Source organism: Homo sapiens, chromosome 1, assembly GCF_000001405.40.
Source record: "Homo sapiens chromosome 1, GRCh38.p14 Primary Assembly".
In the NCBI taxonomy this organism is placed as follows: domain Eukaryota; kingdom Metazoa; phylum Chordata; class Mammalia; order Primates; family Hominidae; genus Homo; species Homo sapiens.
Window position 1 is genome coordinate 26,347,382 of NC_000001.11, and position 13,240 is coordinate 26,360,621.

The following is a 13,240-nucleotide window of genomic DNA, read 5'->3' on the forward strand; positions in this document are numbered from 1 at the left end:
CTCCTGGGCTCAAGTGATCCTCCTGCCTCAGCCTCCCAAGTAGCTGGGACTACAGGCACACGCCGCCACACCCAGCTAGTTTTTATTTATTTATTTATTTTTATTTTTATTTATTTATTTTTTTTGAGACAGAGTCTCGCTCTGTCACCTAGGCTGGAGTGCAGTGGCATGATCTCGGCTCACTGCAAGCTCCACATCCCTGGTTCACGCCATTCTCCTGCCTCAGCCTCCCCAAGTAGCTGGGACTACAGGTGCCCTCCACCACGCCCAGATAATTTTTTTGTATTTTTTGTAGAGACGGGGTTTCGCCGTGTTAGCCAGGATGGTCTTGATCTCCTGACCTCATGATCCACCCGTCTTGGCCTCCCAAAGTGCTCGGATTACAAGTGTGAGCCACCGTGCCCAGCCCCAGCTAGTTTTTATTTTGTACTTTGAGGTCTTGTTATGTTGCCCATGCTGGTCTCGAACTCCTGGGCTGAAGTGATCCTCCCACCTTGGCCTTCCAAAATGTTGGGATTATGGATATATGCCACTACTGTGCCTGGCCTAACTTTTTATCTTTTTATTTTAATTTATTTTATAAGACTGAGTCTTGCTCTGTTGCCCAGGTTGAAGTGCAGTAGCTCACTGTAGCCTTGAACTCCTGGGCTGAAGTGATCCTTCTGCGTTAACTCTCCAAGTAATTGGGACTACAGGCACATGCCACCACACCCAAAATGCTCGCCTTATAACCTAAATTGCTGGCTCATCAACTTTCTGCTGTCACCTTGGAGATTTGTGACCAAATGTTAGCTGGTGTGCACACGTGTGTATGGGCATGAGCACCTGCTGATGGTCTCCAGAGCACAGGGGCAGGTCTGTGTGCAAGTGTAGGTCTAAATGGAGCCTCTCAGAGCTGGATGCAGTGGCTCACACCTGTAATCCCAGAACTTTGGGAGGCAGAGGTGGGAGGATTGCTTGAGGCCAGCAGTTCTAGACCAGCCTAGGTGACATAAAAAGACTCTACAAGTCTCTACAAAAAATTAAAAGAATTAGCCAGCATGGTGGTGTGTGCCTGTAGCCCTAGCTACCCTGGAGGCTGAGGTGGGAGGATCACTTGAGCCCAGGCTGCAATGAGCTATGATCGTGTCACTGCACTCCAGCCTGAGTGACAGAGAGATCTTATCGCTAAGAAAAGTTATCATTATTTTTTGAGACAGAGTCTCGCTCTGTCGCCCAGGCTGGAGTGCAGTGGCACGATCTCAGCCTACTGCAACCTCCTCCTCCCAGGTTCAAGCGATTCTCCTGCCTCAGCCTCCCGAGTAGCTGGGATTACAGGCATGTGCCACCATGCCCAGCTAATTTTTGTATTTTTAGTAGAGATGGGGTTTCACTATGTTGCCCAGGCTGGTCTCAAACTCCTGACCTCAAGTGATCCACCCGCCTTGGCCTCCCAAAGTGCTGGGATTATAGACGTGAGCCACTGCGCCCGGCCTAAAAAAAGTTTTTAATAAAAACAAAAATAAGGCTGGGTGCGGTGGCTCACGCCTGTAATCCCAGCACTTTGGGAGGCCGAGGCAGGCCGATCACCTGAGGTCAGGAGTTCGAGACCAGCCTGACTAACGTGATGAAACCTAGTCTCTACTAAAAATAAAAATATTATCCAGGCATGGTGGTGGGCACCTGTAATCCCAGCTACTTGGGAAGCTGAGGTAGGAGAATCGCTTGAACCTGGGGGGCGGAGGTTGCAGTGAGCTGAGATCACGCCTCTGCACTCCAGCCTGGGCAACAGAGCGAGACTCTGTCTCAAAATTAAAATTTTAAAAAAAAAGTAAATAAATGGAGCCCCTTGGCTCCGTTAGGGCACTTGGGCTTTACAAGGCACTCTTCCCTCGATTCTGTCCTCTGTGATTTTTTCCCTACTGAAGGTTAAGAAACCGAGGGTCAGAGAAGACGAGTGACTGGCCCAGGATGACGCGGCTATGAGGTTGTCAAGCAGGGATTTAAATTCCCATCTTCTGATTTCACATCCAGGCATCCTCCCTCCTACCCCCAGGCCACAGCTCTGGGGCATGTCCAGCTGCTCCTGTGATCATCCTCAGCAGAGCATGTCTCACCCTCCGTCCTGGAGGGGTGGGGCCTGGGTCTTGTTTCTTTTCTGACTCTTCCTTGATCTCTCTGGGTCTCCATAGCCTCCCTTACTAAATGTAGGATAATATTAACACCTGCCAAAGAAGACCTTCTAAGCTTCTGCTATGGCTTGAATATTTGTCCCCTCCAAAACTCATGTTGAAACTTAATCCCCAATGTGGTAATATTGAGAGGTGGGGCCTCTAAGCAGTGATTGGGTTATGAGGGCTATGCCTCATGAATGGATTAATATACTCATGGATTAATAGATTAATGGTTTAATGGATTAATGAGTGATCATGGGAGTAGGACTAGAGGCTTTTTTTTTTTTTTTTTTTTTTTGAGACAGGGTTTTGCTCTGTTGCCCAGGCTGGAGTGCAGTGGCACAATCTCAGCTTACTGCAACCTCTGCCTCCTGGGCCCAAACAGTCCTCCCACCTCAGCCCACCGAGTAGCTGGGACTACAAGCCTGCACCGCTATGCCTGGCTAATTTTTGTATTTTTTGTAGAGTTGGGGTTTCACTATGTTGCCCAGTCTGGTCTCAAACTCCTGAGCCTAAGAGATCTGCCCACCTCCGCCTCCCACAGTGCTGGGATTACAGGTGTGAGCCATTGTGCCTGACCGGACCAGTGGTTTTATAGGAAGAGGAAGGGACACCTGAACTAGCACCTCAGCCCCACTGCCATGTGATGCTCTGAGCCCCCTCGGGACTCTGCAGAGAATCACCAACAAGGTTCTTACCAGATGCACCCCCTTGACCTTGGGCTTCCAGGTTCAGGTATTCCATTATAAGCAACAGAAAATAGACTAAGCTCCCTAGGAACTCTCAGGTGAATTTCTCTGTTTTACTAGTTGCAACAACAACAAAAACAGCCATTTGGGGAGGGCTGACTCTGCCAAACACCTTGCTAAGTGCTTTAGATTCATTGTCCCATTGAAGCCTCAGAAGAATCCCAGGAGCTTGAGACCTCATAAAGAATAAATTATTAATAAATTAGATCATACCTTCCCATTTTGCAGATGAGATTTTTTAAATGCTCAGAGAGGTTAAGAAACTTGTCCAAAGTCACAGAGTAACCGAAACAAGACTTGAACCCCAACCCTAAGTGCTCACTCACCATACCAAACTCCCTAATATATGTATCCTATAACTGAGTCTCTGGTTTGGGGGTTTACATTTACAGGGAGCCATGTCAGTCCTGGAGGGCGTCTCCACCCCCACTCCCTGACTTCCAAGCTACACTGACCAGGGCAATCCTATTCTTAGGCCCCACGAACCCCAGAGAGGCCAGCCTGTTCAGCCCGAGTCTTTGGGCCTTCTCCATGAGGTACCCTCCCCTCCCCAAGAGACCTGACTCTGGGCAGGAAATGGACCCACTGCCCCCACTCCCCTCCCCCATTTCCCATTGTCCTCCTTCCTGAGAAGCTGGTGGAATTCAGAACTTTGACCCTTCCCTGTGGCCACAGCAGTGACTCAGGCTTTATGAGGGGCAGAGATGAAAGAGACTGAAGCCCCGGGAAGCCTGACCTGACTCCAGGACTGCTGGTGGCTATGACAGTGTCAGGGACAGGGTCCAAGGGGGACTGGAAGGTGGAGGGGTTAGGTAGAGCCCTGGTCATTTTCCCAGGCCAGGGCTTCCTGAGAGCAGTACACAGCCAGACACCAAAGGCTCTGGATTTTAGCCTCTCACTGAGGCCCCAGCCCACTCCCCTGTCCCCATTAGGGAGCTCCCTTTTTCCTCATGCAACCCCTGCCCTCCTCGCTGGGACTCTGCCCAAATGAAGTTTGACGCCCTCGCTGAGCACCTCCTAAGCCCCTGTCCACCTGCCTTCCACTCTCCGAGCTTCCTTGTCTCTGATGGTGCTTATAGTAAGTGGCAAAGCTTGAGCTCTAACTCATTCATTCATTCATTCAATTACTCACTCATTCAGTGCTAATTGTATCAAGGGATGTGCTAGGCCTTGGCTAGACTCAACCAGAACCAGAGCCAACTTTCTCATGAAAGGTGGCATATTAAGAAGCCAGGGGCCAAGGAATTAGACATAAAAACAGGGACATTTGGAAAGCGCCATAGGCATCAGGAAAGCGACAGGAGAGCAATGTTAAAGGAGGCGGCCGATCATGAGATCAGATATTGTCGATGACCTCCTACCAATCAGAATTTAACGTCTTTCTCAACCAGCCCAACCCCTGGACAACACCCCTGATAGCCAGTCATTCCACAAGCATGTGGTCATTGGCTTCTGCCTGCATACCTCCAGGGACAGGGAGGTCACCACTCGACAGTTCACCTGCCCCGTCCCTGAACAGTCATGAGTGCTAGAATGTCCTTCAGACTCTGCTGGAATGTGCCTGCCTATAGATGCCCCCTTTTGTCCTTGCTCTGAAGACATACCCCAATACAATGACCCAGGATGCCTCTCCTGGGCCAGCAGAAGGGGCCATTCCCAGAGCCCTTTCTTCTGCAGGGCCCCAGACCAGAAGTGGATTTGTTGGCAGCGTGACCTGTGACCTCCAAACAAGGCGTGTGGAGCTGGGAAGGGAGAGGCTGAGGAGGGGGCGGGGGGAGTGTGGGAAAGAGCCTTGTCTAACCCAACAAGTCCTGGATTCTCCCCACTTACCTGTGAGTCACCCCCAAACTAGGCCAAACCAGTCCACAGGCCCACATGCAGGCAAACACATGCTGTGTCACACAGACGCAGGCACAGACACACAGACAGATACCGACACAGACCCACAATCACACAGGCACAAAGATACACCTAGAAGCCTATAAAAACATACACAACCAGGGACACACACACAAATATACACTCACCCAAGAAATACAAACACGCACAGGCACTCAGAGCCACAACAGACACACAAATCACATACAGACAGAAACACAGGCACAGTGACACACACGTGCACACATTCACAATACACACACAGTCAATTCACAGCCCCAAGCTCTCTTCCCCTTGAAATTCACCTACCCCTGAACGTGGACACACACGCTTGGATGCACACGTATCTTACACATTCCCACTGGCAGTCCCAGCTATGTCTCACTTCTTCTCGACTCCCATATTTGCCAATCTTGGCCCAGAGAACCTTCTCCCAGGAAGGGGACATAGAAGGATGATGTTTCTGGAGGTCACCTGCCCCCCACTCTAAGTGAGCCCTAGCCTCCCACCTGAGTCTGTCATTATCCACCTGGGCCCAAAATACCCAGGTAGTGGCAGATAGAAACCACCTCCCCCCAGCTAACCCTACTTCTCTTTCCCGTCCCCCTCTCCAAGGTAGCCTCCTCCACCCCCCTTCCCTCTCTCTGCAGCCCTTGTCCCCCAGCCCCTGACTTCTGGGGCATCCAAGCAGGTCTCAGAGCCAGCCTGGGTCCTACATCTCCCTCTTCCTTGGCACGGAAGCAGTCACATTGACCCCTGCTTGGAGGACCCCAGCATTCCTGATTCTGCCTCTGCTACTACAATGCTGCCCAATCCACCGCCATAGGAGCCTAGAAAACCCTGGAGCCCACACAGCAACCTCACTCAACCCTCCACTCTCTGCACAGGGCCAAAGAGGTTTCTTCCAGGCAGGATGGAGCAGTGGTTAGAGCACAGGCACTGGAGTTATAGAAACCTAAGTTCAGATTCTAGCCCCTTCACTTTCTAGTTGACTTTGAGCAAGTGACTTTCAGAGCCTCCTAGAATTAGGTGACAGGGGTTGGGATCAGTCCCTACTCATGGGATGGTTGGGAAGATTAAATAAAATTATGCTTAGAAAACAAATTGCAAATGACAGCCACCCCATCATCCTTAAGCACCCTTCAAAACCCCACCCCAGGCTCATTTCCTCTTCAGGGTCATCCCTGGGAGGTTCCATGTTCATCCCTCCTTGATGAGCTTTGGGGGACATATCCTTCCACCTCTGCGCCCCCCAGGCAGATTTAGGAGAGTCATTTCAACACAAATAAAACTAGGCTTGGGAAACTCGACACCCACTCCTTTGGCTTCCAGCTCAGAGCCAGGTGGGGTAATTATTGCTGTCACTGAGACGTAATTAATAAGCATCCCTGCTATTTTGGCACCCCCAGTCTCTGGAGTTCAAAGTATATTCCTGTAGCCACCTCCTCCTTCCTCATTTTCAGCTACCAAATCCTCTCAACAACTCAAGGCCCAGAGAGGTTAAGCAACTCGCCTCAGGACACCCAGCACCTAGGCTGGGTGCCAATTCCCAGGCTGAGTCTGTGGCCTCCTGAACAGAACTGGGGAGTGGTGTATGCTGTGAAGAAGGCAACCCCCCTTCCTGCCCATCCTCTCCCTGACAGACTTTCCCCTTTCTCAGATGGACAGTGGGGGTGAGAAGCAGTGGGTTCCAGGAGGTAGCCTGTGGGCAAAGGGAGGGAGAGGAAGGCAGGGTTGGAGCAGGGAGGGAAGGCAGAGTCGGCTCAGGGTCCTGAATGAATGGGCCTAGAGCTGGAGAGGCCCAGGGAATAGGCAAAGTCTCAAGACAGGGCAGCCAGGCCAGTCTCCCCTCCCATCTCCACACACAGACCGACCTCTACTCACAGTCTGCGTGGGGACCCAGGTGTCCAGCCAGCCTGGAGCTCCTGCTGCTGGGCCGTGCTCCCCTGATGCGATTGGGCTCTCAGCTGGGGTTCCTGAGGCGGGGCCGTCCGGCACCCTGTGATGGGGCGTGGCCCCTGGGGAGGCTCCCACCAGCCCTCAGATTCCTCAGGGCCGCAGAGGTGTGGAGCTGGTTGGGCCGGTTCTTCACCCTCCTCCCCTGGTGCTTGCCTGTGCCCCAGCAGGGTGACAGTGATGTAGTAGCGGGTCCTCCTGGAAGAGGGACGCGTGTGTAGGGTCTGGGCAGGCTCTGGCAAGGCAGTCCCTGGGGTGGCGGGCTTGCCCTTTGTCCCCTCTGCCCTGGGGAAGGATGCAGGGTGGAGCAGCAGGGGTGCGTCTTCCAGGTTGCTGGGTGGCTCAGGCCTCAGAGGGACCTCTGAAGCTGTGGGTGGAGACTGCTGACAGGTGCAGCCTGAGGATCCCTGCTCCCCATGTCCAGGAGCAGGCCCTGGGTATTGGGGGAGCCTGGTACGAGCAGACTCTCCTGAGGCCACTTCCAGGGCCAGGCTCTCAGGCCCCAGGGAGGCATGGCTGGCCAGGTCGAAGGCGCTGCCCACCGCTGGCCTCTGTAGGCGCCCCAGGGACTGAGCAGGACCCCCCGAGATTCCTTGTTGCTTCCAAATCCAGAAATCATCATGGTCCCCTACATGGATGTCCCATTCTGAGCAGCTCTGGCCTTGGGCCTGGGTGAAAACAGAGATAGACACTGAGAGAGGCAGGGGCATAGTGACAGCTCCCCCTGCCCTCCAGGCACCCCTGGTACCTGGTATCTTCCCTGTCACAAGGAAGCTGAACAGGGCTCTGACACCAAGGTAAGCTGCCCTAGGGAGAGGCTGCTAAGGCCACCAGAGCTGGACAAAGGGACAGAGCTCTGGGAAGGCCCTTCAGCATTTAACTCACCCCTTCCCATTCTACGTAAGAGGAAAGTGGGGCCCAAAGAAGACGGCGACATGACTGAGATCACACAGCAAGCCAGCGAGGGCTCCCAACGCTCAGGTGCCGCACTCCCTCCCAGGTGACAAGGCACCCAGGGCCTGGCCGGCCATGCCCCCCAAAGGCTGGAGATCTCAGCTTCCTTGCAGTCCTGAGGTGCTTCCCCGCCCTGGGGCTGAGGGCTGGGTGGGAAGGCCTGCCTCAAGTGCCCATGGCCTCTGCCCATTCCAAGCTAACAGAGAGACTGCGGCCACCTCTCTTGTACCCTCCCAGCTTGAGACAGAACACCTGGGAGGATGTACCTGGGATATAAGGGAGCCAGAGAAGAGGGTTCCCCTGAAATGGGACAACACCTGACCTCTTCTGCTGTCTTCCCCTGGGGTCCAGCCTGGCTGTGGGGATAAGAGGAGAGGGCTCAGCACCCCAGACCCAGATGGACACTGCCCCCAAAACGACCCGTTTTAAAAGATGGGCTGTTTCCTTGGCAACAGAGGAGGTCAAAATTCCGCCTAGCAGGGATCCTTGCTGCCAAATGCCTTAATTTACTCATCTATGAAACAGATGCAGCCTCTCATTCCCCAGGGGCTGACCACCTCAAGAGACAAGAGTACAGTGATGAACCTGGAGGCTTGGATCGAGGCAACCTGGGCTTGAATCTCCGCCCTGCTGCTTCCTATAATAGCTGCAGTACCGTTTGTATTTCAGTTTCCTCATGTGGAAAATGGGTGTGATAATAACAGTACCTGCCTCCTGAGAGTGTGGTACAGATGGTACAAGATAGTCCATGCAGAGGGCCCAACACATGACAAGTAGGCAATTAAACACTGGCAATTACTCATGGTATTCAAGACCCAAGAGAGACACATGGCTGCTTGAGCCACCTCCAGAGGAGGCTGCCCTCACTCCTCCAAGGGAAGAACACTTTTTCACTGTTCAATTCAGGGCTCAGGTCCTTACTGCAGATGAGGAAACTGGGGCAGGAGGTTAAGCCACTAGCCCAGCCTCACCCCTGAGGGGCCATGCCAGGAAGTGGGGAAGAGGGACCAAAGATGGAAGGCGGTCAGGCCAAAGAAGAGAATGGAGAGAAGCGAGGCCCCTCTGCCCCTACATCCCTCCCCAGAAGATCCCAGCTTTAGGAAGTCACATTTCCTGAAAGTCCGGGCCCCAACCATGCGGGATGTCCCATATCCATTACTTTATCTCCCACAACAGCCTTGAGAGTGGAGCATTATTGTCCCCATTTTGCAGAAGGGAACACTGAGGTTTCAAGGAGGGGAATGATCTGCCCAGGGTCACATGGTGGATCAGTGGCAGAGGGAGGACTGGAGCTCCGGTTGTCTGACTTGTTGGTCCGGGTTCTCACAACCTGCTCAGCCCTCCCAGAGCTCCTGCCCTCCCCACTCCCCTTTGGATTTTCTCCTACCTTGAGGCTGACATTGCAGGTGGTACCCTGGGCTAGGTCAGAGCAGCTCCGGCCATCCAGAGGCCTGGGAAGGAAGCACACGGGGAAGAGAATGAAGTAGCCTCCTCCTGTGCCAACACCATCACCCCCAGTCTGGACCCGGAAGTCCTCTCCCCCAACCTTTTCTCAGGGCCCACAGCCCAGCAGGATGAACTCCTAACACATTTTGGGGAAGGTCTATGTGGCAGCCTCCTCTCTGTTCCCTCTCCCAGCTGTCCACTTCACCCCCAGAGGCAAAGAAAGAGACAGGAATGGGCTTGATTGCAAAATGGGGGCTGGGCCTGTTATGGGGCTGGAATACAGAGAAAGACAGTGCCCTGATAATGCAAAAGTTGGCCGTTTGCTGAGGCCCTCCTGTGTGCCAGGCTTGGCACTAGGCATTGTACCTACATGATCTCCCCTAAGCCTCACAGTAATCCTAGAAGGTGGATATTAGTGCCCCCTGTTTCTCGGATACAGAAAATGAGGCCCAGAGAGGTGAAATGGCTTGCTTAGACTCCACTCCAAAGGTTGGCTGGACACCACGGCATGAATAGGGGCCAGGTAGGAAAGTGCCTTGGATCCTCCTCTGCGCACTCCATACCCCCAGCAATCAGCAGGGGTCAGAGGCCCCTGCCTCGGTACCGGGTTCCCATTCCCAGGGCGGGTGAGATCGGAGAGCAAGTGTAGCATGGCCAAGAATCATCACTCCAGCCCTGCAGATTGCCTGAGCAACCCCTCCTGGCCCTCCCCACCCCTGACTCATTTGCACCTCCAAGTCCAGAGAGGGAGGGGCAGTGCCGCCTGGGCCTATAGGGCAGGTTTCTGCCAGACAGGGTAAAGGGGGAGGGCGTGTCTTCCAGGCGGGGGCGGGCAGGGCACTGGCAGGGTGTGGACACCCCAGGGCACCCAGGCTTCCAGGCATAGGGTGACTGGACCTTCCTCTCCTCTCTCTTTAGGGTGACAGAGCAGCACAAATCCCTGCCCTCATTTTGCCCCCACCACACCCCCAGTCCCCCTGGCGCAGGCTGAAGACACCTGTGCCATGATAAGATCAGAACAAATTGCCGGGTAACTGGGCAGACACATAAACACCCATGCGTGAGAGCACACCCTATGCTCTTCACGGATGTAGGACCGGGGAGCTGTGGGGCTCTCGGATTCTCAATACTGCCTTCCCTGCCTTTTGACTTGGCCTTCCACAGGATGTTTTTCCTTCTGTTTAAAACATTTTAAAGTTTTAAAAGAGCACAAGGGGCCAGGCGCGGTGGCTCACGCCTGTAATCCCAGCACTTTGGGAGGCCGAGGCGGGCGGATCACTTAAGATCAAGAGTTCGAGATCAGCCTGGTCAATATGGTGAAACCCTGTCTCTACTAAAAATACAAAAATTAGCTGGGCGTGGAGGCACGTGCTTGTAGTCCCAGCTACTCAGGAGGCTGAGGCAGGAGGATCACTTGAACCTGGGAGGCAGAGGTTGCAGTGAGCCGAGATCATGCCACTGCACCCCAGCCTGGGCAACAGAGTGAGACTCCCATCTCAAAAATGAAACAAAACAAAACAAAGCAAAACAAAAAAAGAGCACAAGGGACTGGGTCTGGTAGCTCAAACCCATAATCCCAGCACGATGGGAGGCCAAGCCAAATCAGTAGAGCTCAGGAGTTTGAGACCAGGCTGAGCAACATAGCCAAATTCCAACTCTACAAAAAATAAAAAGATTGGGTGGACATGTTGGCATGTTCCTAGCTACTTGGGAGGCTGAGGCAGGAGGAGTTTGAGGATGCAGTGTCCTATGATAGTGACACTGCATTCCAGCCTGGGTGACAGAGCAAGACCCTGATTCTATTAAAAAAAAATTTAAAAAAATCAAAAGAAAAGAGAGCCAGGTGCAGTGGCTCACACCTGTAATCCTGGCACTTTGGGAGGCTGAGGTGGGCAGACTGCTTGAGTCCAAGAGTTCGAGATCAGCCTGGGGAACATGGTGAAACCTTGTCTCTACAAAAAATCAGCCCGGCGTGGTGGCATGTGCCTGTAATCCCAGCTACTCAGAAGGCTGAGGTGGGAGGATCACCTGAGCCTGGGGAGGTCAAGGCTGCAGTGAGATGCGATAGTGCCACTGCACTCCATCCTGGGCAACAGAGCAAGATTCCATCTTAAAAAACAAATAAGTAAATACATAAAGGATATAAGAGCACAGGGAGCATTCCACATTAACATCCAAAATCGTGGTACATTGATACACATATTTTTATGCTTCAAGATACTCATACACACTTATTTGATCAACCACAACACTCTAACACACACACACACAACCCCTCAGACATCAGCTACCAGTGCACGGGCTCAGAGAGGTGAAGCAATCTGCTCAGGGTCATATAACCAGTGGCACCTACAGCTAGGAGCCGGGTCTTGCAGTCTGGCAGTCCCTGCAGGCAACAAAGCTTCAGAAATGTGGGCTCTGAAGTCAGACTGCCAAAGCCTGTGTCCCAGCTACACCACGCCCCAGCTGTGTGGCTTTGGGCAGGTGACGTCACCTCTCTGAACCTCCATTTCCTTATCTGAATCATGTGGAATACCTGCTTCATAGGGCTGCTGTGAGGATTACGTGAGATAATCCAGGTGAAGTATGAAGCATGTGGCAAATAAAGGCTTATTGTTATTACAATCTAGAGCTATCTCCAGGGGTGGGGACGACAGGGGAAAACCTCTCCGTGGCATCTAAGTGCAAATGCAGTACAGTCTCAGACGGAACCTGTCAGGTTCATGACAAAGGGATATGAAGAAATCAGCTGTGATGCGAGAATCAAAGTCCATAGGGGAGGGAAGAACTACTGCCTTTGCCCTTAAACTGTCTCTGTCGTCTGCAGGCTACCTGCCTGACTTAGGAAACTGTCCACATAAGTTGTAAAGTTTTAAAAGAGCACAGGGACCATTCCACATTCACATCCAAAATCGTGGTACATTCACACACACACACACACACACACGTGTGTGTGTGTGTATACATATATATTTTTTTCTTCTTCTTCTTCTTCTTTTTTTTGGAGACGGTGTCTCGCTCTGTCGCCAGGCTGGAGTGCGGTGGCTCGATCTCGGCTCACTGCAACCTCTGCCTCCCGGGCTCAAGCGGTTCTCCTGCCTCTGCCTCCGGAGTAGCTGGGACTACAGGAGTGCGCCACCACACCCAGCTAATTTTTGTATTTTTAGTAGAGGCGGGGTTTCACCATGTTGTTTGGCCAGGATGGTCTCAATCTCTTGACCTCGTGATCCGCCCGCCTCGGACTCCCAAGACACATATATTTTTATGCTTCGAGAGATACACATACACGCTTATTTGATCACTACTCTCTCTCTCTCTCTCTCTCTCTCTCTCACACACACACACACACACACACACACACACACACACGGTCTAGGGCCCAGAGGCTCCCCACGCGGCCTTTCTCCATCTCTCCTCACCTCTCCCGGGATGTGGCCTCCGAGATCTCTTTCCCTCTGTGCTCCCTCCGGACCCCTAACCCAGCCAAAAGGTGGGCCAGGCAGGCCCCCGGGCCTCCGCACCGCTCGGCCATGGCGAGTGAAAGACCCGGGGCTCCGGCCGTCGGAGCACCTGACCGCCGGGGCTACCCGCATCCGCTGCATTTGCGGAGAAATGCCTCCTCCGGCCCGCCCCCCTAGCAAACAGCGGCCCCACCCGCAGCCCATGCGGGCGGTGACCCGATCCAGATGCTGCCCGTGCCCTGGGGCACTCTCCAGGACCCCCAACCTCATTGTTCTCCTCGGACCGCAGACCCCAGACGTTCGGCAAGAGCCCTTGCCCCCACCCCGGGGGCGTGGTTCTCCGCCCGGTCCGCGCTACATCTTTAAGCCCCTGGAGGCGCCAGGGCCCCCCGCAGCCCCAGGTGAGCTAGCCCGAGAGCAAGACCTGCATGAGGCCGGACAGGGAAAGTGGCCTGGGGCGAACAGAGGCGGGGAGGCGGGGCTGAGCGAGCGAGGGGGATCCCCCAGGAGCAGGAGGAGCTGGGCAAGGGGGGCGGTTGCGGGGAGGGGTGGATGGTTCGGAATGGGCGTGGTCTTGCCGAATGGGAGGGTCTAACGCGAGTGGTTGGCGTCCCGCGCGGGGCCCAAAGTGTGACACGGGTGG

At 53.7% G+C, this 13,240-nt stretch overlaps 1 protein-coding gene across 5 annotated transcripts in view, besides 3 other annotated features; it reads right to left on the reverse strand.

Annotated features, from left to right (window-relative positions):
• CRYBG2 (crystallin beta-gamma domain containing 2) overlaps positions 1 to 6,749 on the reverse strand; it is a 32,266-nt gene extending 25,517 nt beyond the window's left edge. For 3 of the 5 annotated variants that reach the window (XM_011541672.2, XM_005245918.3, XM_047423686.1), the window contains exon 1: positions 6,665 to 6,749. Coding sequence is in view for 1 of the 5 variants with exons in the window: in XM_011541673.3 (XP_011539975.1) it covers positions 3,116 to 3,231 (116 nt within the window). In the remaining 4 variants the exon portion in view is untranslated. Of the gene's footprint in view, positions 1 to 3,115; positions 3,433 to 6,654 lie in introns of those variants that run through there. The other 2 variants (NM_001039775.4, XM_011541673.3) reach the window with 2 other exon arrangements.
• Positions 1,988 to 2,834: an enhancer, noted in NCBI's record as "H3K27ac hESC enhancer chr1:26675860-26676706 (GRCh37/hg19 assembly coordinates)". NCBI's record gives its function as "activates a minimal SCP1, AML or CMV promoter by ChIP-STARR-seq in primed H9 embryonic stem cells {active_cell/tissue: H9 hESC(primed)}" and the evidence as "EXISTENCE:reporter gene assay evidence [ECO:0000049][PMID:30033119]".
• Positions 4,050 to 4,248: a silencer, noted in NCBI's record as "fragment chr1:26677922-26678120 (GRCh37/hg19 assembly coordinates)". NCBI's record gives its function as "represses an EF-1alpha promoter that drives an FKBP-Casp9 reporter gene in an ReSE screen in K562 erythroleukemia cells {active_cell/tissue: K562}" and the evidence as "EXISTENCE:reporter gene assay evidence [ECO:0000049][PMID:32094911]".
• Positions 11,377 to 11,671: a silencer, noted in NCBI's record as "tiled region #4973; K562 Repressive DNase matched - State 8:EnhW". NCBI's record gives its function as "represses a minimal TATA promoter and a strong SV40 promoter by Sharpr-MPRA in K562 cells {active_cell/tissue: K562}" and the evidence as "EXISTENCE:reporter gene assay evidence [ECO:0000049][PMID:27701403]".